General features: G+C 42.1%; 1 protein-coding gene across 5 annotated transcripts in view, besides 1 other annotated feature; it reads right to left on the bottom strand.

Annotated features, from left to right (window-relative positions):
* Positions 1 to 24816, bottom strand: part of KHDRBS1 (KH RNA binding domain containing, signal transduction associated 1) — a 46983-nt gene that overhangs the window by 14924 nt on the left and 7243 nt on the right. Inside the window, exons 2-10 of one of the 5 annotated variants that reach the window (NR_073499.2) lie at positions 15505 to 15629; positions 14287 to 14403; positions 12593 to 12739; positions 8884 to 9017; positions 7891 to 8092; positions 7308 to 7375; positions 6354 to 6412; positions 3208 to 3400; positions 537 to 596 (exon numbers count right to left, since the gene is read on the bottom strand). Coding sequence is in view for 2 of the 5 variants with exons in the window: in NM_006559.3 (NP_006550.1) it covers positions 3303 to 3400; positions 6354 to 6412; positions 7308 to 7375; positions 7891 to 8092; positions 8884 to 9017; positions 12593 to 12739; positions 14287 to 14403; positions 15505 to 15629 (950 nt within the window). In the remaining 3 variants the exon portion in view is untranslated. Of the gene's footprint in view, positions 1 to 536; positions 597 to 2049; positions 3401 to 6353; positions 6413 to 7307; positions 7376 to 7807; positions 8093 to 8883; positions 9018 to 12592; positions 12740 to 14286; positions 14404 to 15504; positions 15630 to 24816 lie in introns of those variants that run through there. The other 4 variants (XR_007066502.1, NR_073498.2, NM_006559.3 and 1 more) reach the window with 4 other exon arrangements.
* Positions 615 to 1498: an enhancer, noted in NCBI's record as "VISTA enhancer hs645". NCBI's record gives its function as "enhancer in: other[4/5]" and the evidence as "EXISTENCE:transgenic organism evidence [ECO:0001131][PMID:17130149]".

Below are 24816 nucleotides of genomic sequence, written 5' to 3'. Positions count from 1 at the left end.
TCAGCTAATCCAGTCTGATATTCCCTCTCTAAAACCTGAATCTTGAGTAGAGGCAGAAAGAGACCCAACATAGTTTGAGTTGTGCCCAAGGAGCCAGTCCTTGTTTCAAGATCGTTCCTGTGGTCTACCACTGTTGTCCCAGTTCCCTGCAGCCACTACAGTTCCCACACCAGATTTTTTATCCTTCGCACTGAACATTGAGCCCTTAACACCTTTCTAATAAAGTCTTTTTCATTTACATTAGCCACTTTGTTGCTTGCAACCAATGAACTCCAAGTGGAACACCACCTCATCAGGTTATTAACAGGATAAACAGAGTGGGATTCAACAGATCTAAGTTGATATTGTCTGGCCTTATCAACCACTAGATGTAAATTCAGTATGGACATGTAAGTGTGGTCATGTCGTAAATAAGGTACAAATGACCACAAAAAAGATTAACCCATTGACCACCTTACAGGCCACCTCCTAGCATAACTGTTTTACAGTTATGATAAAAGGCCCATGTTCCTTAATAGAAAGCCACCTTAACATACCTGACATGGGTCTTCACTACCCATTCTAGTCCAGGAAATGCCTCAGGAGTTTTCAGTCACCTGAAAATGGAGAAATAACAGATCAGTCTTTTGAAGAGGAAGTTTTAAAGACATACAAAATAAAAGATAAAGAGATCCTGCATGCAGTTTACACATTACAGGAGAAACATGCAACTTTTAAGAAATTTTAAGTAAAGTTTCATTGTGAATATCAATATGGGGACCTACAGGGACTCATCCTTACACAGTTTTAAATAGCTGAGCAGAAAGCTTTTGGGGTGCAGCAGGAGGTCTAATCTACAGTCATTGAAATTTTACAATGTGTCATTTAAGATGTCAGACTTTGTGCCCAGGTTACGTTACAGTTCACTTGTGATGGGCAGGATTATTAAGAGTTATGGCTAATTTATGCGGCAACATATGGTTTTTCTTTTTACAGCTATTTTTATTAAACAAGTTTTGCAAAGTTTTAACATTAAAATTAACAGCTAAAGAATTGTTTATGCAAGTTGCTGTCACAGTTTATGTAAAAGAGAAATATGTGCTATTAAAATCAGACATTTAGGTTACCTTTGGTTTTTTGCGATGCATGTTAGCTTTACACATCCTGATTCTCTTGCGATAATTTTCCTTTAAAAAGGGGGGTATAGAGTGATCTCTTTTCATCAAAACAAGACATAATGCCCTGAAAGCTGACTTCAAACCATGGTTGAAAATTCAGTTATTTACATTTTATCACAATCTACAAATACATTTTTTTGTTGGTGTGTTTTAAAAAGAAAAAAAAAATGTCCATCATGCACTGCTGCAGGCAGCTTGGCACTTCAATACAAGAGGATTTTTCACCCCCGAGCAGTTTAGGTGGCTCTCTTAGGGAAGCCATGAGAACCCTGAGAATCAGCATAGAGTTGAAATGGGACCAACCAATTCCATCACTTCCTCTCTTGGTCTCTTAGGAGGGGGTTCAGAGCCAGCCTATCATGCCAAATCCTGCCCCAGCCCAGCTGAGTTATCAGCATTTCTGGGATTGAAAGAGAAACCCTCAAGGGCACCCAGAGTTGGCTGAACTGTCATGCCTAAAGGCAGATGCTGTCCCCTTCTGAGCTCACAGAAATTATTTGGTGTCACACTTTAGAGCCACCTAGGGGTTCTACAGAAGGTGCAAACCAGGCTGGCTTGCACTTTTAAATACTGAGACCTATCTATGGAAACCAATCCAAGTTTCAGCTCAGTTGAGTTGAAAACTCTCCATAAATTAGAATTTTTGATAGGATTGGATACAACAGCTTCCAACAACTTCCAGGGGGTGAAAAAGCTTTGGTTATTTTTAAACTAAAACTTAACAACTCCATCAACTTTTTTTTGGTAAACTTAAAATAAAATCCCCCCCACCACTTTTAAGAATGTTTCCAACTTTTAACAAGCCCATTAACTTTAGAGTTAATTTAAGTTTATTTGAAAGAGAAAACTATTTTATGGTCCACCCAAAAAAATGACAATTCATCACATTTACTTTGATTAAAAAAGGACTAAACTTTATTGACAAACTGCTGCAGACATTTTGACATAAGTTTAAGCTACCTATTTAGGCAGACTTACACATGTAGCATTTAATCTTCCGAGAACAAAATGGGAGGACGGTACAAATCCAATTAGGACTTTAACTTATGTACAAAGTGGATTTTGATTCCTTTTTCATTCAGCTGCAGTGTCCCTTTTTATATCATGCTAGTGTTGAGACATACTTGACTAACTTGGGAACAGTTCGATATATTGACAACCGTCAACTTAAGAAAATCAACAGCTTTTGGCCCCAGCGTCCAAGTGAACTTTTCATGGAGTGCAGAATCTCAAATGGACAAAATACTTTGTCTTTTTAAATACTGAAAATTTAATTATTAGTACTATGACTGAAAGATTCTTCATGGCTAAAAAGCTCTGCATCAAACTCAATTCAGGAGGCCTTCCCTCCCCACCACCATCAACCTCTTCAAAACCTACTCCCTCCCTCTAAGTATCTCTCAACACAGTATGTCTGGGGCTAGATTTCAAAACCCACGTAATGAAAAAGTCAGTTTTACAAGCCTAATTTTGTTGTTTTTTTTTTTATATCAATTAACGTTAAAAATTGCATCAACTATTTAATTCATGAGGATCTTTCATATTAAAATTTAACCTTAAGATTCAACCGCCATGTGCTTTTATAAAGGAAACATTTTTTAGAGACGTCTGAGCTCACTTTTACATGGTGGTGCCTACTGCCGTTAATGTTTGTGATTTTAAATCTTAAACAGCCCTGAATTTTGAAATGTAGCCTAGTTTGGGATTCTGCAACTACAACTTTACGGGATGCCTCAAATCAAAACTAAGAGAAACTTAACAAGCCTTTACTTCAGAACCTTTAAGCAAGCAATGTCATTTTTGAAACTAACAGGTTTGTGTGTTTTTTTTTTTTACTCAACTTCTTTTTTTTATTATAAAAGGTACACTTCTGTTTATATTTAAACAACAAAGAAAAAAGCATCTACACACTTAAAAAATTAATTCAATATTCCTAAATCTATTTTAACTCATTTTAAAATACTACATACAGAAGCCAGAATGCAGAGTTAAGAATGGAATAAGGTGGGGAGAAGAAGGGGACCACGAAGAAAAACACTTAGACAATTACTTGTCTGTTGTGGGTAAAGCAACAGGAATCCTGGGAGATACAAGAAATCAGTAACAACTTTGCTCATAACTGATATTTTCCCCTCATGTTTGTTTTTAATAACGTCCATATGGGTGCTCTCTGTATGCTCCCTTCACTGGCCTAGCAGGAGGGGCCTTCAGCGACGGCCTGGTCCCATTCCAGTCGTCCTGGCCTGTGGGGAAAACAAAGACAGTTTATAAACCATGTGGCGACAGCACTTAGGGATAAGCAGGGATAGGTCACATAGTAAAGATCACCAAAAACACTGAGTTTCTTCTAATGTCTTGACACTTCCCCTGGTGTTCCTTGCTCTCTACTTGGCTTGGCCCTCTTGGGCAGCCTGGGCAATTTTTCAGTTTTGAGTGGAAGGACAGAAGGGAACAAATCTAAAAAGGCTGCCATTGACTCTGGAGTAATCTCCCACAACGAGGTTCTTCATAGACAAATGTGATCTGTACGCCAGTCCCCAAACCTGGAGATACCCAACACCTTGCTTGAGATAGTGAGGAACTCATTAATCTTAGTGAGTCTGCAATGGCCTTTCCTGTTCCCAAAACAATTTGGCAGGCACCCTCAGGTAAGGTGGGAAGACTTCTGGAAGTCTTTCAGATTGGAAGCAGGCAGCCAGCCCCACTTCCATGCAACAGCAAGTCACGTTTCCTTACGGAGAAGTGTCCTCTAGCTCCCTGGGAAAACCAAGCAAGGGCCACTTTCCATGGGGCCCTCCACCAGCAGAGCTGATACTGCTCTCTCTGGTAGAGGGATGTGCAATCAAATGTTGCACTGACAGCACTGTTTAAGATAATTCCAAGGCTGCATGCGGTGGCTCACGCCCGTAATCCCAGCACTTTGGGAGGCCAAGGCAGGCAGATCACAAGGTCAGGAGTTCGAGACCAGCCTGACCAACAGGGTGAAACCCCATCTCTACTAAAAATACAAAAATTAGCCAGGCGTGGTGGCGCATGCCTGTAATCCCAGCTACTCAGGAGGCTGAGGCAGGAGAAGTGCTTGAACCTGGGAGGCAGAGGTTGCAGTGAGCTGAGATTGTGCCACTCCACTCCAGCCTGGACAACAGAGCCAGACTCCATCTCAAAAAAAAAAAAAAAAAAAAAAAAGGATAATTCCTTATCTCCTTTCTTAAGTCAACAGGTGAGAGAAGCCAGAAGCCAGACAATGTGGTTCACATCCTCAAATGGTTCTCCTTTGTGACAGGGAAAAGCCTGAGGAATATGATCACATAATTCTAGAGGTGACCTCTTATGAAAATAAATTGCGTTAAATTTATTCTTCCCACACCTTACACACGCTAGTTCATCCCTGAAGTATTTTTCCAGCTGCCTGTATTCACAAGTATCTGCCTCCATCTCTATAGGCCTCAAACTCCTATACAGATCTAAAGTCACACAGAACCCTAATTATACCCCTAGTATAACACACATGTCCATCACTTTCCAAGTGGCTTCTGGGTATCAACAAGACAGTTTCTTTTTCTTTTTTTCCTGACGTATACAGATCATCCTGGACAGTTTATTTCTCTAATTCTGTTAATCAAAGCAGAGATCAGAACGGATTAACTGTGGCAACGTCGTATCAGGAGCACAAAGAGAAGCCTGCCTCTTTCAGTTTGGTCTTTTCTCCAGCAAAACAGAAATGCAATTTAGTCAAACACATACAGAGGCCCCACTGTACTGCCTCACTGATGGAGGGAAATACTTGGGTGCAATCACACACAGTGTTAGTGATTGGCAACTGTCCAGTGCTATTTCGCTAAAACTGGTAAAAACAGTTTCCTTGGGCAAGCAGCTGATTGGCTACTTCATACTGTGCTGAGTTGGGCTCAGCTTGTCTGTCTCTGGGAGGCCCTAAGGGGCTCCTCTTTTTCAGCTAGGGATAAGGGGAGACTGTCAACCAGTATCTTAGCGTGAACTGTCAATCGCTGAGCCCCTGCCAAGGACTCTCTGGAAGTCCCTCAGGTATGCTGAAAATACCTTATACTGAAAAGGTAGCTCTCGCTGCATCCACTGCCACATAGTATTCCCAGTGAGGCCTATTAACACAGGGCCATAACTGGCTCTTGAGGACACACTTGAGCGATGTGTTTTTAACCAAACCTCAGGGAAGGCAGCCTTGTCCTGCTGCTGTTGCAGCCTCCATAGCTCTCTTGGGATCAAGGACTGTGTTGATGTCTTCAAGCCAACAAGGAGCTTGGTGCCAGTACTGTCCTGAATTATTGGCTCTAGCCCCTACAGCCTCTAATCTGATTCTAATAGGCACTATTTTTTTTTTTTGAGACGGACTTTTGTTGCCCAGGCTGGAGTGCAATGGCACGGTCTCAGCTCGTTGCAACCTCCGCCTCCCAGGTTCAAGTGATTCTCATGCCTCAGCCTCCCAAGTAGCTGAGATTAAAGGCGCCCACCACCACACCTGGCTAATTTTTTTGTATTTTTAGTAGAGACAGGGTTTCACCATCTTGGCCAGGCTGGTCTCGAACTCCTGACCACAGGTGATCCGCCTGCCTCGGCCTCGCAAAGTGTTGGGATTACAGGCATGAGCCACCACGCCCGGCCCTAATAGGCACTATTCTTGCCCCGCAACCTGGTCTGGCTAGCTGCTTGCCATCTAGGTCCCTTTCAGCTGACATTTCCTTTACAATGACATTCTTTTCAATGAGATCTAAATTTTTTTTTTAATGAAATGGGGTAGATGAGTACAGTTGTGTACGATTAAGTTCTTGTTATCTACCAAAGTGGCCTAGATATCGGCAGCAAAGGCCCAGAAATACAACCCAGGTCTAGCTATTTCCCTGCCTAAAGTAGAAAAAAAATAACATTAGCTTATAAGTCTGCTGCTCCAACCAGGGCCAAGCTGGTCTTGAGCCCTTGTTTAAGACAAACACTACCCTTCCAAGAGTAACGATACCCCACCTCACTTTAGCAGTCCCTCTTTCTACCATGTACCGCAAAATTTAAGCAAGAGCAGAACTCTTACTGTCACATCTAGCAAAATCTTGGCCTTCTAAAGGTTTATCCGTAGGTGTGTTTGTCTGACTCTCAATACTTTAGTCACCAGCATTCTCCCAGGCACTTACTTGTACATTCTGCCCCACCACAGAGATAAAGACATACCATAAGCTTCATAAGAATCTTGAACCTCCCCATGTCCATAGTCATAATATTCTGAGTCCCTGAAAGCCAAAGGCAGAGTGTTAGGAAGCTACAGAGTAACTATGTTTCAACTTTCTCTCAAATACTTCCATAAGTCAGTCATTTTACTAAGTGTATTAATACAGGAAAATACTCATTCTGCCCCATCCCTAAACCGTAAAGTATTTCCAAAATATGTATAGACTATGTACTTATAAAATAATTGACAACTATTGCAAAGAAAAATGGATACCACAGAATATAAAGTGAAAAAGCACAATCCTAAATTGACCCTTTTAATATAGCATATATATACATGTATTCATAGGGCTCACCAGAAGGAAAAAAGAACTGTTTTATCACTGCTGTAGAATTCTGGAACTCTTTTTCAATCAATTCACAGGTAAGCTATATATATGGACACACAAGGAAATGGTCTTAAAGAGAAATGCAGAAAAGAACCTAAGTTATGGTAATGGAATTCAAGTTTCTTGTAAAATTTTATGGAGCTTTAATGTGGTTTTGATATTTTAAAATAATAAATCAAAATAACATAAAGGCATTTCTCCTTGTTTCCATGTAGTCACAGCTTGGAAATTTTTCATTTGTTACTCTCAGGTTCTAAATTATAATTTAAGGTTCACAGTTATCCAGATTTACAAATCCAAGTGTGTGCTTCACAGATGTCAAACGCAGAGGAAAGCATTGCATGGTGGCACGCACCTGTAACCCCAGCTACTAGAGAGAGCTAAAGTGGGAGGACTGCTTGAGCTCAAGAGTTCAAGACCAGTCAGGACTGTGGGGGTTGCAGAGGAGATACCCTCAAAAGGCGAACCATTCTGCTCCTTAGGGTTGTACTGTCTAAATCTCTCTGTTCCTCCAACTCCCTCCATCCATCCTCAGGACAAAAAACAGTGCTTATACTGCCTGACTCACCCTTGACTCTGGCTGTAATAGCCTTCGTAGCCTTCGTAACTTTGTTCTGCGTATGTATCATCATATCCCTAGAACAACAACAACAAAAAAATGAAATAAAAGATCAAAATCATAGAGAGTAGGAAAGGTAATTACATCCCATGGGAGTAAGTAGGCTTCTGAATTAAAAGGACATGACATTTCCCTCCAAAATGTTAATGCCTACTGTAGAATAGTCAAAAGAGAAAGGGTTACTAAACAAAGAAAACCCAAACAAATATGATATGCCACAGAAGAAGTGTGGGCAGGAAGTAAAGTACAAAATCGAGCTTTAGTATTATCAGTACTAGTAGTAAGAAATTCATTATAAAATACTACATTAAAGTACATTTTATTTCTTGTTTAATCTACAGGCGTATAGTAAAACCCTGCCTAAAATGGAAAAATCTTCTAATAGTTCAACATTCACTGCAAGAGAAGAGGGCAGATTGCAAATCTTACAGGCAGTCCATGACACCTACATAAAGGACCGAGGCCCTGTCATTCAACTTCCTTTAGCAGCCTTCTAGGTACTGGGAAATGGCACATTGTTCAAATTTCTTACATATTCTTCATATGTTTCTGGTGCAGGAGGTGGAGGCAAAGGTATCCTCTGGATGCCCGCTGTCCGTGCTCTTGGTGCTGGAGCACCCCTCACAGTAGGTGGGGGTGGCACGCCTCGAGTCACAGTGGCACCTCTGGTGATGGCTCCCCTTACTGGTGTACCACGTACCAAAGCCCCCCGAGGTGGTCCAACACCACGGCCCCTACAAAATGAAAGTTTATCTTAAATGGAGCTTTTTATAAACAGGCCACTTTTATGTTCTGATTTGTTTACAAATTCTGGAATTAGGCAGATTTTATGAAGCCTTAACTAGGCTATTATTAAAGCACAGAGGAATGTACAGGGTAAAGGACCCACACTGCAAGATCCCCCAGGTCCTATAGAGGACCAATTCATCACTGCACTGCCTTGGGTAGGTCTGGAGAGTCTGAATACTCTATAAAGGTCAGTCACAAAAGGTAGAATTTTAAAGTCAGACCATTAACAAATGCTAAGACTGTCCAAAATTAGAAGACCAAAAGTTTCAGCTAGACTGCAGCACTTGGCTATGGTCAAAGTGCCCAAGATCTAGAACTCTATTTTTTTTTTTTTTTGAAATGGAGTCTTGCTCTATCTCCCAGGCTGAAGTGCAGTGGCATGATCTCGGCTCACTGCAACTTCCGTCTCCTGGGTTCAAGCAATTCTCTTGCCCCAGCCTCCTGAGTAGTGTGGTGTATGCCACCACACCTGGATAATTTTTGTATTTTTAGTAGAGACAGGGTTTCACCATGTTGGCCAGGCTGGTCTCAAACTCCAAATGTCAGTTGATCCGCCTGCCTTAGCCTCCTAAAGTGCTGGGATTACAGGTGTGAGAGTATGGTTGTAGAATTCTGTTCTTTATGCAACATACAAATCCTGAGACCCTTCCTAAGCTAGACATAAGAGCACCACTAAAAGAGATGACACTAGTAGTCAAATTCACATCCTATTTCTGGGTGTCTCCATTATTTTTACCTGGGAACAGGTGGTGGAGGAGGTGCAGCTCCCCGGCCTCTCACTGGCACCCCACGTCCACGAGAGGGTTCAGGTACTCCATTCAAGTAGGACAGCTCTAGAAATTGCTCCTGACAGATATCATCCATCATATCCTGGGAACGAAAGATACAAGGAGTATTGTGTGGTATCTACACTTTCTACTGAGAAATCATCTGGTCCACGGGAGACTTGAATTCTAAGAAGAGCTCTTGAGAGCCCAGATGAGGTCTCAGGTCATTCCTTCTCTGAAGTCAAATGGCACCCTATCTGTCACCTCTTTGAGAAAAGTCTTGATGGTAGACCCCTCATTATTCATAATGTGGTCTCTGCCTAGCTCTCCGGATCACTTCCATTCTCTCTCTATATATAACCTACTCACAAGCCAGACTGAACAACTTGTAGTTCAGAGCCTGGCATACTCTTACATATCCATTCTTTGCAAATAGTTTCCTTTTCCTGGAATAATAAAAGCCACTACCATTAATGGAGCTGTATGCACTTGGCTCTATATAATAAGCTTTATATAGATTTTTCAGTTTAATCTTCAAAATGAGGGCCGGGTGCAGTGGCTCACGCCTGTAATCCCAGCACTTTGGGAGGCCGAGGCGGGCAGATCACGAGGTCAGGAGATCGAGACCACCCTGGCTAACACGGTGAAACGCTATCTCTACTAAAAATACAAAAAAATTAGCCGGGCGCGGCAGGCACCTGTAGTCCCAGCTACTCGGAAGGCTGAGGCAGGAGAATGGCGAGAACCCGGGAGGCGGAGCTTGCAGTGAGCCAAGATAGCGCCACTGCAGTCCGGCCTGGGCGAAAGAGAGAGACTCCATCTCAAAAAAAAAAAAAAAAAAAAAAAAAATCTTCAAAATGACCCTGAAATAAGTAGGCAGATCTCCACATTTTACAGTTAAGAAAACAGACTCAAGGAGTATACATCAACCAGCTTAAGAACACAGAGCTAATAAATGGCAGACTCTAGATGTGAATTCAGAATTACCTGTCTCAAAATCTAGGTGTTGGATCAACAGGCTTTTTTGTCCTTATACTGTCTTTTTTGTCCACCTGAGGGATTCTTAATTCATCCTTACAAGACTTGCCTAAATAAGTGTCTCTTGAAAAACTTTCTCTTGATGCCACCCCTACAACTCCTCTTTTCTCAAAGTACCACATAATTCCCTATACCCAAGCACTTACCACATAATTTTAGAATTGTCTGTCACTAAACTGTAAGCTCTTTAGGAGCCATTTTTGTAACTTTACACCCAAGCATAGTATCAGACATCTGACAGATACTTAAGAAATGTTTGGGACGAACAAGAAACCTGAAGCTCAGAAAAGTGAAATGATAACCTGTTCAGGAAGACACAGATAGACAGACATACATAGTCCAGTGCTCTTCCTACGGCACTGTGAAGCATTGCTGGTATAGTTAATTGTTCTAAGTGGAAAATGGAGGGCTCTGGTCACAGATGCAAAAATAGCCTCACTTTTCTTTCCTCCACAAGAGGGAAAAATCAAATGCCACTGGCAAATCTTTTCACACTTCCTATTGAGAGCCATTCAGTCTTAATACTTCATGCATTTTTATATATCCCAGGCGTATACAGCTTCAATAGATGATGCTAGTCTTTGATGCCCCCCTCAACTCTCTAGCTCCTCCTACCTTACACATTACCGCTGCTTGAGACTCACACCTTGGAGAATCAAGTAACCAATGCCAGACCATTGCTCAGACTCCTCCAACTGCCACATCAACACTGAGGAAACCCACATCTCCCCGGCAAGCATCTTTTTCAAAAGATTCACTTACAAGCAAGCCTCATAAACCTAACCCTTCTGAGGAATATGAGGGAGACTAACAATGAAGAGAGGAGATGGGCATTCCCTCTGCAGTCCTTTGGAAATTGAATGGCTTGGGTGATCAATAGAACACCCCAAAAAGAGTAAAAAGAATTTCCTTAAGATTATTAACCAGCTGTGTTTTTCTCTAGGATATGTTAAATGGTCTGTTTCATGTTGAACATTCTTTTTTTTTTTTTTTTGAGACAGAGCCTCACTCTGTCACCCAGGCCAGAGTGCAGTGGCGCAATCTCGGCTCACTGCAAGCTCCGCCTCCCGGGTTCATACCATTCTCCTGCCCCAGCCTCCCGATTAGCTGGGACTACAGGCGCCTGCCACCACGCCCAGCTAATTTTTTTTTTGAATTTTTAGTAGAGACGGGGTTTCACCATGTTAGCCAGGATGGCCTTGATCTCCTGACCTCGTGATCCACCCGCCTCGGCCTTCCAAAATGCTGGGATTACAGGTGTGAGCCACCGCGCCCTGCCTCATGTTGAACATTCTAATGAAGATGAGGTACTTGAAAGCAAAGCAGCTGCTAAGACATTTGAGACTGTTGGAATCCTTGGAGTTCAGCATTATGGGTACACAATGCCTAAAAACTTATTTATTTATTTTTTTTGGAGATGGAGTTTCACTCTTGTTGCCCAGGCTGGAGTCCAATGGTGCAATCTCAGCTTACCGCAACCTCTGCCTCCTGGGTTCAAGTGATTCTCCCGCCTCAGCCTCCCTAGTAGCTGGGATTACAGGCATGTGCCACCACGCCCGGCTAATTTTGTATTTTTAATAGACAGGGTTTCTCCATGTTGGTCAGGCTGGTCTCGAACTCCCGACCTCAGGTGATCTGCCCTCCTCGGCCTCCCAAATTGCTGGGATTACAGGCGTGAGCCACCGTGCCTGGCCCACACTGCCTATAAATTTTTGCCCTATCAATTTTCACATCATCTGACACCACATTTAGTTCTAATTCCCTCATTTAACATTCAAGAAAACCAAGGACTGTATCTTACCTCCTCCTAGTTTTCTGATGAACACATGACGCTTACTCAATTCTACTTAATAATATTCCAAATCCTTCATAAGTCTCCAGATTCATCCTTGTTATTAAATATTCAACAGTAGTATGTTAACTCTGACAACCACCAGGCCTTGCTAAAAGGCAAAAATAGTACCATTTCCTATTTATTCAAAGTAATATTCCAACCAAGTATTCAAAGGTGGTAACAAGCAAGATAGATAAACTGGCCTGTCCCATCTCTATCTAGTCCTCAGTAATAGTCTGAAAAAAGCTGCTCACCTATCTGTTAAACATCAATAGTCAACCTCTTCCAAACTAAACTCGTCCTCAGCAAACTCCTCCAGGAAAGAAATCCCTGAGTGTGCTCAGGTCAGAATTTAACCCAATAACACTAGATGCTATAAGCTTCTTGCTGCTAGTCTCTACTCTCTACAGCATGAACTTCTTGAGTGCAGAGACCCACCTTAGTCACTTTCCTAACACAATCTCCTTGTTCCACACTACTACCAAAATACTCAGCTAGGTGAAGACCCTGTTAAACCTTAGTTAACCAAATATCAGAATGCAGGCACACTGTGGACCCGAGATACTGACAAGATACCGGTACACAATGAAAACCACATTAGACAAGGAGGGATAGAGTGGCCTTGGAGCATAATGCTTTGAGAACTAGGTGCAAGTAACGAACTACCTAAGGAAAATGAACATAAGTGCAGAATTTGGTATACATACAGGTTATGCAGAGACCTTAGTTAAGAACCCCTACCTTCACAACAGTATAAGATCCCAGTTCTCTTTTGCTCAGAAGACACAGGATATGGATTTCCTTACCGGTACTAGAAATTTCTTGACTTCCTCCATGGCATGGGCCATAAGAGCATAAGCCTCACATGGGGGTCCAAAGACTTCAATGAAGACATGCAGATCCATATTCAAGTGGGCATATTTGGGGTCTCCACCTTTGCGCAGCTCTTCCTCCTATGGAAAAATGCAGAGAAATGTCACACCATGGACTAGGGAGAAAACACCACCTTTACCTCTAAGCCAAAGGAACAGCAAGAAATACCCCTAATGTCCATGAAAAACAGTAAAGTTAATTGGTATGAGCTGAGAAGAATTAAACAAAAAAAGAAAAAAGAAAAAAGAAAAACAGTAAAGTTTAAGAAAGTAAAACAAGCAGCCAGGCGCGGTGGCTCACGCCTATAATCCCAGGACTTTGGGAGACTGACGCGGGAGGATCACAAGGTCAGGAGTTCGAGACCAGTCTGACCAATGTGATGAAGCCCCGTCTCTACTAAAAATACAAAAATTAGCCGGGCATGGTGGCGCACGCCTGTAATCCCAGCTACTCAGGAGGCTGAGGCAGGAGAATTGCTTGAACCCGTGAGGTGGAGGTTGCAGTGAGCCACTGCACTCCAGCCTGGGCAATAGAGCAAGGCTCCCTCTCAAGAAAAAAAAAAAAAGTAAAACAAACTCTCAAGAACAGTAATTTGCACAGCCTGCTAAACTTGCACATGGTCTGCTGCTTACAGTTAATTGTTGTCTTAAATCCCTGAGATATCCATTGGAGCTCCTACTAAAAGCATAAAGAAGAAAAACTTAATTCTAGTCTATTCAGATAATAGCTGTTTGCCAAGCATTTGTTTTTAAATCACAGGTAGAGCTGTTAATCACCACGAGCTCTGCTTATCTGCTTATATGGTCTAGGGAGTGGTAGGGGAAGAAAGAAGTCAGGACAGAGGGAAGAAAAGCTCATGTAAATCTCATTAGTTAGAACACACTTCAGCCGTAACTATATGCATCTAGCAAGAAATGACCTGAGAAAACAAACATGTGTCCATTAGACTACATAAAAGGAGGGTTGAAAGAATTGGTTTTTGGACTGTAGCAGGAATATCTCATCAAATAAGGTGACCCCAGAAGGCTAAGACTATTCTGTTTTGGTGAGAAGTTTCTTGTCACAGAGTACACAGCGTACGCGGCTATGGCATGGGGAAAAAAAAGACGCATTAGATTCTGTAGTCAGGATTACTCATGGTTCCTTTTGGAATACATTCTTTTAGTGAGCCTCACATTCCAAACCGGCTATAAAACAAACCAACTAATCCTCAAACTCATCTGCTCTCACATTATTGTTCTCACTTTTCCAGGTTACAAAAAAGGGGGTGTGCTATTTGCATTTTAGCGTCTTTTGTCTGCTTTAGACTAAATTTTAGTATATTCAGTTCCCCTTTCAAGTTTTCACAGACAATCCTACCAATGCGCAACATGCTACTGCTGTTTCCATTACTACACAGTCAAAAAGTCCAAAAGAAAACTATCACCAGGGCACACCTAGGCTCTTCCAGGGTTGCCAAGCCAAGTAAATTAACTTGGTGTATAATCTCTTGCATCCAGTGCAAACTTAAAGGAGCCACATTCTGTACACATACAAAATTCTTGCCGCCTCTATAAGACATCCATACTGCATTCTGGGCAAGTAGAAGGCATTAGGATGTCCTCTTGCCTCACTAATGTGAGCTTACCTTGGCTTTGTCTCTCATTGAGCCCTTTCCCAATACAGAGATCTTTGCACCAGTCTCTTCCTGCAGTCTTTTGATTGTATTCCCTTGTGGTCCAAGAATCTTCCCCACAAAATTGAACTGACAGAAAATAGAGGATTTCTAAATATACATGCTACTATATAAAAACATTTCCACATAAATTACCTCACTTGATTTTAAACAACCCTGCAAAGGTAGAGTATTACCATTCCCATTTTACTGAAGGACACTGAAGCCATATTAATAAAGTGATTAGCTTAAGGTTATGAAACTAGAAAGTGGCAGTTCCTAGACCTGAATTTGGCTTTTCTGATGTATTCTGGTGCTCTTCCATAATACATTAAGACCTTTACTATTTTATTTTTTACTTTATTTTGAGACAGGCTCTCACTCTGTTGCCCAGGCCAAAGTGTAGTGACACAATCATGGCTCATCACAGCCTCAACTTTCTGGACTCAAGTGATCCTCCTGCCCCAGCCTCCAGAGTAGCTGGGTACAGGTGCACACCACAACACCAGGCTAATTTTTGTATTTTTTGTAGAGATGGGGTTTCGCTATGTTGCTCAGGCTGGTCTTGAACTCCTGGGCTCAAGCAATCTGCCTGCATCGGCCTCCCAAAGTGCTGGCATTACAGGCATGAGCCACTGTGCCTGGCCCAGCACTTAACATACATCAACATTTTTAAGGCAGTGACCTCAGAACAGAAGAGACTATATAGCACCCTTTGATAACACGCTGGATAAACTAAATGTAACTAAATGCTTTCCTAAAAAAAAAAAAAGGAAGAAAAAAAGCATTTACTTAAAAGTAAACTTTTAGTAAGAAAATAAAATTAACTTCAACCAATTGAGGATTCATATTATATTTCCTTTTATTTAGATTTCAGGTTAGTCTTTTGACAAAGAGCAACTCTTCAGGTTTTAATTTTTTTTTCTTTGAACTTGTAGCCTGAGCAATCATTTGAGAAAGAAACTTTTTGATAATAAAAAGATGATTATATTTCCTTCCTGGCTATAGCTATGTTATTAGTTAAGAACTTAGATATTTCAACTCTCAGTAACAGGTACTACAAGCATGAAAGAGAAGCTTCACAGGCTTAAGTTTCTAAAGCATCACAATCCCCAGGAGTCTTTATTATAGCCCATGACTCTCTCATAACTATAAAGATAACTCAAAGATCCAAAGCACTTTTTGCCTTACCTTGGGATACTGCTTGACAGGTATCAGCACTCGCTCTTTCAGTTTCATGTTCTTATGAGAAAATAAATCCAAGTAATTCTCCTCATCATCCTTTTTTGAGTCTCCTTTCTGAATCTTCTCAATTTCTGAATAGGAAAAACAATTTATTTTTGCCCTGGTAAATAAATGCAAATTTTGAAGTCTGCTTAAAGCAATAACATGGAATACCATATAGTGAAACCAAATAGTTCACACAAATGTGCCAATTTCAGAAAGAAACTAGCTGAAAGCACTAAAGCTATATGAAGTTGACTAGAAAGCCCAAAGCCTGCTTCTAATAAAAGAAGTGTACTCTTCCACCCTCACCTGAAGCCATGACAACAGAGACATTTAAATGTTTCTTAAATCAATTTAACAAAATTAATTGGGTGAGATGGGGGAAAGGAGAATAAAGAAACAAACAAAAAAATCAAAATCTGCATCAAGACAAAGTATAATCTTACCTTGAAAAAAACAAAAGTAAATAATCTAAATATACAATGGATAGTTCCATTAAAGTTCCACGGTGACATTAGTACTCTAGATACTAGTCCTTAAGAGTCTGAAAGACCTTATTCTTACTCTGCTACTCACTAGTCGTGTGACCTAAGTTAATAAAATACGTAGATATGCCTAATTAAGGCCAATTTTTCATAAAGTACTTAATATATCGTTACCGTTATCTAGCCCAAATTCAGCCAATGCCTAAATGATACAAAATGCACAAGGTACTTTTTTTTCTTTTTTGAAATGGAGTTTCGCTCTTTTTGTCCAGGTTGGAGTGCAATGGCATGATCTCGGCTCACTGCAACCTCTGCCTCCTGGGTTCAAGCAATTCTTCTGCCTCAGCCTCCCAAGTAGCTGGGATTACAGGTGTGTGCCACCATGCCCGGCTAATTTTGTATCTTTAGTAGAGAAGGGTTTTCTCCATGTTGGTCAGGCTGGTCTCGAACTCCCGACCTCAGGTGATCCGCCTGCCTCAGCCTCCCAAAGTGCTGGGATTACAGGCGTGAGCCACCGCGCCCAGCCACCAGGTACTTTTTAAAAAAACATTTTATTGAAGTATAACTGATATGTAAAAAGTTATACATAATTAATGTATACAATGATGAGTGTGGAGATAAGTATACACCCATGAAACCATCACCACCATCATGGGCACAGACATATCCATCATCACCTAAAAGTACTTTCAATTCGCGGGTTAAGACAGTTTCATTAGATAGAAACTTGGCATACAAAAAGATTTCCTACCATTAAGGAACTTCATTCATTGAGTGACTGCAAGTGTTTGAGTGCTTCCTATAGTATGGAGAGGCAGATGAAGGGAGGGCTATAATAGGTACAATCATTAACCACTATGGAGGACTTAATAAGAGCCAGACATCTGTCTTGCAAAGCACAGGAGATACAATAGAGCGAGTCAGACTGGTCTCTTGTCTTCACTGTTTATATACTGGAGTTCCCAGACTATAGAGGTGGCAATGAAGTAAAGTACTATAACAGGAGTTCTAATAGAGATGAGGGCAGAGTGCCCAAGGATGAGTAGCAACTGAAAGCTTATATGATCCACTGAGAGTAGTTAAAAAAAAAAAAAATAGGCCAGGTGCGGTGGCTCACGCTTGTAATCCCAGCACTTTGGGAGGCTGAGGCAGGAGGATCACAAGGTCTGGAAATCGAGACCATCCTGGCTAACACGGTGAAACCCCATCTCTACTAAAAATACAAAAAAAATTTAGCCGGGCGTGGCGGTGGGCACCTGTAGTCCCAGCTACTAGGGAGGCTGGGGCAGGAGAATGGCATGAACCCAGGAGGCAGAGCTTGCAGTGAGCCGAGATCGCGCCACTGCACTCCAGCCTGGGCGACAGAGCGAGACTCTGTCTCAAAAAAAAAAAAAAAAAAAAGTATATATAGTATATATATATACGTGTATATATATATACTCCCTAAAATCAGTGGAACATTCTAAATATCAGAGAATAGTCTGTAATAGAATATTACATAACATTCCCATCTTCTATAATTTTAAGGCGGGGGTTCTCAAACTTCTTCATGCATCACAATCACCTAGAAGAGGGCTTATTAAACTAGATTGCTGGGCTTCAAAGCCAGTCTGGGATTTGTGTTAGGAATTTGCATTTCCAACAAGTTCCCAGGTAATTCTGATATTGCTGGTCCAGGGACCATACTTTGAAAACCATTGGCTTGAAGTATAAAGACACCCTACCTCAAACACGTTCCACAAATCTATACCCTTAACAGTTTTTATTTATTAATTATTATTTTTTGAGACAAAGTCTCGCTCTGTCACCCAGGTTGGAGCGCAGTGGTGCAATCTCTGCTCACTGGAACCTCTGCTTCCCGGGTTCAAGCGATTCTCCTGCCTCAGCCTTCCGAGTAGCTGGAACTACAGGCATGCGCCACTATGCCCGGCTAATTTTTTTCCCTATTTTTAGTAGAGATGGGGTTTCACCATGTTGGCTGGGCTGGTCTCGAACTCCTGACTTCAGATGATCCACTCGCCTCGGCCTCCCAAAGTGCTGGGATTACAGATGTGAGCCACCGTACTGGCCTAACAGTTTTTAAAATAAATATTTAGAGAGGTGCAGCTGTGAAATATATAGACGAAGAAAAATAACTTTGACTCTGACATGCCTTAGAGAATTTAGAATTTCAGACTGAATGCTTGTTTGTTAAAAAGCCTAATTTCAGATGCTATACTATACCATGAACTAATAGACACATACTTCCTGGTTTTCTGACAATTAAAATTGCTGATGAATTGTAAATATCCTTAATTAAAAACCTTTACTCCTATGAGAAGAACTGTAAATGACAGTGCTCTTCACAATCCTGTTTCAGTGCTTGGAATAGAAAACAAATTTGACCTTACAGTTAACAGAGTAATGCTTCATTCAACAGTCTACTTGTGAGGGTAATCCTAACCCTAACCCTTACTGTTTGGTGGCAGATCCTGACCTCTACTTCTTTTCCCCTACTGCTAATATACTTTTTCTGATCAATCTTTTTGAGCCTACTGTACCTGACTACACCACTTTCTAAGTTCTCAGACTGGAAAACTTAGTTATTCAATCCTCAAAGTCCTAGAAGAACAAAGATGCCATAATTCTGATCTGAGAACATCACCAAGGAGCTTTTAATAATGTGGAACAGGCCAGGAGAGGTGGCTCATGCCTGTAATCCCAGCACGTTGGGAGGCCAAGGTGGGCAAATCACCTGAGGTCAGGAGTTCGAGACCAGCCTGGCCAACGTGGTGAAACTCCATCTCTACTAAAAAAATATATACATAGACCGGGCGCGTTGGCTCACGCCTGTAATCCCAGCAGTTTGGGAGGCTGAGGTGGGCGGATCACCTGAGGTCAAAAATTCGAGACCAGCTTGGTCAACATGGGGAAACCCCGTCTCTACTAAAAATATAAAAATTAGCCAGGCGTGGTGGTGTGCACCTGTAATCCCAGCTACCGAGGAGGCTGAGGGAGGAGAATCGCTGGAACCCGGGAGGCAGAGGCTGCAGTGAGCTCAGATTGCGCCACTGCACTCCAGCTTGGGCGATAGGGCAAGACTCCATCACAACAACAAAAAAGAATGTGGAACAAATTAGATACTTCATTTTATCTATGTCGCTTTGTGCTTCCGAGGGCTACCATTGAGTTAGACCTTTCAGCTGTATTTTATACCACTTTCCAGAAACCTTGGTCAGTGCAAGACGATTCAAAGTCTGTTCATCTGCTATACTCCTACAAGAAGGTGTGTTTATATGCAATGTAATGCACTCTGTGAATTTAAGGCCTTTCATTTTTTCATTTCTTAAAGACCAGTGTGATAGTATAAGACCTTTCTATAACATGGATTCTTCTATTTTTGAACTACTCAGATCTTAGAATCCTTCTGTCCAATTATTTCACAACTTTTTAAAGAATAGCAGTGGCCAGGCATGGTGGCTCACACTTGTAATCTCAGCATTTGGGGAAGCTGAGGCAGAAGGATCACTGGAGCCCAGGAGTTTGGGACCAGAGCGGGCAACATAGTGAGACCCCTTCTCTATAAAAAATAACAAATTAGTCAGGCATGGTGGTATGCGCCTGTGGTCCCAGCTATTTGGGAGGCTGAGGCAGGAGGATAAGCAGTTGGAGGCTGTAGTGAGCCAAGATCATGCCACTGCATTCCAGCCTGGGTGACAGAGTAAGGCCCTGTCTCAAAAAAGCAAAGGAAAGCATTTTTAGAGAATTCAGAGAAGGATCATTTAAATAAAACAGAGGGTTGAAAAGAGAATCAGAATTTTAACCTACAAAGCAAAGGACTGGTTGGGCACAGTGGCACATGCGCTTGTAATCCCAGTGCTTTGGGAGGCTGAAGCAGGATGACTGCTTTGAGCCCAGGAGCTTGAGACCAGCTTGGGCAACACAGCGAGACCCTGTCTCTACCAAAAATAAATAAATAAATAAATAAATAAATATATATATATATTTAAATTAGCTGGGTGTAGTGGTACCTGCCTATTATCCTACCTACTCAGGAGGCTGTGGTGGGAAGATCGCTTGAGCCCAAGAGTTCAAGGCTGCAGTGAACTATGATGACTGTGCAACTGCACTCCAGCTTGGGTATCGAAGGGAGAGAGGAGGGGAGAGGGGAGAAAGGGAGGAAGGAAGGAGGGAAGGGAGGGAGGGAAGAAGGGAGGGGGCAGGAAGGGAGGCAGGGAGGGGATGAAGGGAGAGGGAGAGGGAAGAAAAGGAAGCAAGCAGAAGACTAAGAAGCTACTCGAGCTTTCAAGAAGGGTGGAGGGGGCCAGGCGCTGTGGCTCATGCCTGTAATTCCAGCACTTTGGGAGGCTGAGGCGGGTGGATCACCTGAGGTCAGGAGTTCGAGACCAGCCTGACCAATACAGTGAAACCCCATCTCTATTAAAAGTACAAAAATGAGCTGGGCATGGTGGCGTGTGCCTGTAGTCCCAACTGTTTGGGAGGCTGAGACAGAAGAATTGCTTGAACCCGGGAGGCGGAGGTCACAGTGAGCTGAGATCGTGCCACTGCACTCTAGCCTGGGTGACAGAGCGAGACTCTGTCTCAAAAAAAAAAAAAAAAAAAAAAAAAAGGAGGAGCCGAATTTTTTTTTTTTTTTTGAGATAGGGTCTCACTCTGTCACCCAGGCTGGAATGAGTGGCACAATAATGGCTCACTGTAGCCTCAACCTCCTGGGTTCAGGCGATCCTCCCACCTCAGCACCCCCAGTAGGTGCAACCATAGGCGCGTGCCACCATGCCTGGCTAATTTTTTTTATTTGTAGAGATGGGGTCTCCCTATTTTGCCCAGGTTGGTCTTGAACTCCTGGGCTCAAATGATCCTTCCACTTCGGCCTCCCAAAGTGCTGGGATTATAGGCGTGACCTACTATGCTCCCCCCGCCTTTTTTTTTGTTTGTTTTAAAGAGATGGGTTCTCTACTGCCTAGGCTGAAGCATAGTGACACCATCATAGTTCACTGCAGCCTCGAACTCCTGAGCTCAAGTGATCCTCCCACCTCAGCCTCCCCAGTAGCTAGGACTAAAGGTGCGTGCCACCTTACCCAGGTAGGGCTGAATATTTATTTGATGCCTACTATATATCAAATACCATAGAACTATTACCTCATTAATCCTCAAAAATAACTCAGTGAACTGAGTTACTTACATCTGAGGCAACAAAAACTCAAAGAGGTTAAATAACTATCTCTAGGTCATAAAATTGTTAAAGTAACAGAACAAGAATTAAAAACCCACGCCTGGCTGGGCACAGGGGCTCACATCTATAATCCCAGAACTTTGGGAGGCCGAGGTGGGAGGATTGCTTGAGCCCAGGAACTTGAGACCTGCCTGGGCAACAGAGTGAGATCCCATCTTTACTAAAATTAAAAAAAAAAAAAATAAATTAAATTAGCTCAGTGTGGTGGCGTACAACTGTTGTCCCAGTTACTAGAGAGGCTGAGGCAGGACGATCACTTGAGCCCAGGAGTTGGAGGCTGTGGTGAGCCATAATGGGCGCCACTGCATTCCAGCTTGGGTGACAGAACAAGACCCTGTCTCTAAAAAAAAATTAATAAAAAATTTTAGAAAACCCCCAAACTCAGGCCTTTAGGCCTTTTCTGACTTTTTTTTTTTGAAACGAAGTCTCACTCTGTCGCCCAGGCTGGAGTGCAGTGGCACAATCTCAGCTCACTGCAACCTCTGCCTCCCAGGTTCAAGCAATTCTCCCTACCTCAGCCTCCTGAGTAGCTGGGATTACAAGCATCTGCCACCACGCCCAGCTAAATTTTGTATTTTTAGTAGAAAAAAGGTTTCACCATGTTGGCCAGGCTGGTCTTCAACTCCTGATCTCAGGTGATCCACCCACCTTGGCCTCCCAAAGTGCTGGAATTACAGGCGTGAGCCACCGCGCCAGGCCTCTAACTTCTAATTTCATGCTTTTCCTATTGTCTCTTGATGAGTGTGTGTTTGTGGGGGGCACACTTTATTTAAGCAAGGAAGAGCTGACTTTTATAAAATTTTAAGTACAATTTATACCCTCAGACACTGGCATGTGGCCTAAAGGTAATAAAAGGGCTTTATGGGTGTCTCAGATGTTCAGTTGTCTGATGGTCTGGTCTTTCTTTTTTCTTTTTCAACTCTGTATGTCTCTCCTTGTCCTTGCTTTCCCCGGAGAGCTAGAGTAGACTGAAATGGGAAGACAAAAAATCAAGGAGGAGCTTCCTAAAAATGGTTTAACCTCAGGCAAAAGTACTTTCTAGACAACCCTTTTGGAACTGACTCCTTTAAGTAATCTTTGCTTGGGTCTCTGGAGACCTTGGATATCCCAAGGGCCAAAGAAAACAAAGCTGAGGTGTAAACAACACAAGAGGTGACCCATTTGTTTCCCAGCCACTCAGAATAATCATATCTTATCCAATGCCTTCTATGCGTCAGGAATTTTGTATTTATTATTTCACTTTGTCTTTGTAACCAGTATTATCTTCATTTGACAGATGAAGAAACCCGGGCTCAGAAAAGCTATATAACTTGTCCAAGATCTCAAAACTAATTAGTGACATAGCAGATACTTAAACCCAAGTCACTTCTTATACCAAAGAAAGTAAATTCAGTTAACCTTTCAAAATTTCCTTCATCTTTTACTATAACTTAACCTTTCCCACCCCCCACTTTTGTTTTTTTTGTAGATTTTATCCCAACCAGACTATAAGCTTCCACGTTGCTTAATATATCTTGGAGGAAAGACAAGGGTTTTGAAGCTAGACAAAGTGGGTTTGATTCCCAGCTCTCCTACATGCTTGGTGTATGACTTTAAAAGAGAATGTTAATAAGAAAAATAGTAAGAAAAAAAGAGAGAGGGCGAAAAAGAGATGTAACTCACACAAAAAAAGTTAATATTAGAGAAGTCTGGGAAAATTATATACCAACTTTATCAACTGGTCTGGCTTAACTAAAAAATCAATACAAATATATCATTAACTGAACTTTTTTTTTTTTTGAGACAGGGTCTTGCTCTGTCACCCACACTGGAGTGCAGTGGCGCAATTTTGGCTCACTGCAACCTCCGCCTCCCGGGTTCAAGCAATTCTCCTGTCTCAGCCTCCCGAGTAGCTGGTGACTATAGGCGCATGCCACCACACCTGGCTAATTTTTGTATTTTTAGTAGAGACGGGGTTTCACCGTGTTAGCTAGGATGGTCTCGATCTCCTGACCTTGTGATCCACCTGCCTCGGCCTCCCAAAGTGTTGGGATTACAAGCGTGAGCCACCGCGCCCGGCCAACTGAACGTTTGATATGGCCTGCATAAGGAACAAGACAATGGTCAAGATTTTCTAAGTATCCAGAGCGAGTATTTCTAGGAGAGCAAGATTCTCAGAACTGCTCTAAAAGGTCAGGGTTCATTTCATACCCTCCTCTAGACTCCCACTATACTTGGTTCTACACTTCTAAACACAGCACTCCTCCTTTGCCTGTTGTTAACAATCTCTGGACTCCTTCCATTGCTGAGTGTCTGTAATTCTTAGTACAGTACAATGCTTGATACACAACAGGCATCTATAATCATTAACCGAATTAAAAGAAATGTACCGGCTGGGGCGCGGTGGCTCACACCTGTAATCCCAGCACTTTGGGAGGCCAAGGTGGGCAGGAGATCGAGACTATCCTGGCCAACATGGTGAAACCCTGTTTCTACTATGGTGAAACCCTGTCTCTACTAAAGATTTAAAGATTTACTCTAGCTAAATCTAAAAACTGGTTGGGCGTGGTGGCGCGCTCCTGTAGTCTCAGCTACTCAGGAGGCTGAGAGAGGAGAATCGCTTGAACCCGGGAGGTGGAGGTTGTAGTGAGCCGAGATCATGCCACTGCACTCCAGTCTCCAGCCTGGGTGACAGAGCAAGACTCCATCTCCTTAAAAAAAAAAAAAAAAGAAATGTGCCGCTGGGTGTGGTGCCTCACGCCTATAATCCCAGCACTTTGGGAGGCTGAGGCAGGCAGATAACCTGAGGTCAGAAGTTCAAGACCAGCCTGGCCAACACAGTGAAACCTTGTCTCTACTAAAAATACAAAACTTAGCCAGGCGTGGTGCCGCCTGCCTGTCAAAAATTAGCCAGGTGTGGTGTCATGCGCCTGTAATCCCAGTTACTTGAGAGGCTGAGGCACAAGAATCGCTTGAACCCGGGAAGCAGAGGTTGCAGTGAGCCAAGATTGCGTTACTGCACTCCAGCCTGAGTGACATAGTGAGAACCTGTTTCAAAAAAAAACAAATACAAAAAAGTATGGTTAACACCCTCAACTTCCCTTAAACAACTCACATGACTTTATCATCCCCAAATTTATAATTCTCAACTTTTCTGTTGGTATCATCTTTTGGAATCAGAAGTCCCATAAGCTTACTATTGCAAAACAACTTCATTTGTTTTATTTATCAAATTACTTATTGTTTCAAGCAAGAGCACAAAGCCAATAGGTTCTTTATTTTTTTTGGAATCATGGGTCCCTCTGAGAATTTGATGGAAGCTACTGATTAGCAACCCAGAAAAAAATATAAACTCATAATATATTATATACAATATTGGCTATGGGTATAGAAAGGCTGGGTATTGGTTAAAAAAAAATCCCCCAAAGGCCTGTTACAAGCCCTTTCATATGGGCTCAATTTTTACATTCCAGGACAGTAGAAAACTCTGTCATATTGACTATGGTCTCCCAAATCTTTTCCTTAGTGCACAATTTAGAGCTTTGCAACTTTGAAAATTTTTTTTTTTAATTTTAAGGC

Source organism: Homo sapiens, chromosome 1, assembly GCF_000001405.40.
Source record: "Homo sapiens chromosome 1, GRCh38.p14 Primary Assembly".
Classification (NCBI taxonomy): domain Eukaryota; kingdom Metazoa; phylum Chordata; class Mammalia; order Primates; family Hominidae; genus Homo; species Homo sapiens.
The sequence above is the reverse complement of the archived record's forward strand: the minus strand, read 5'-3'. Positions and strand labels throughout refer to the sequence as shown.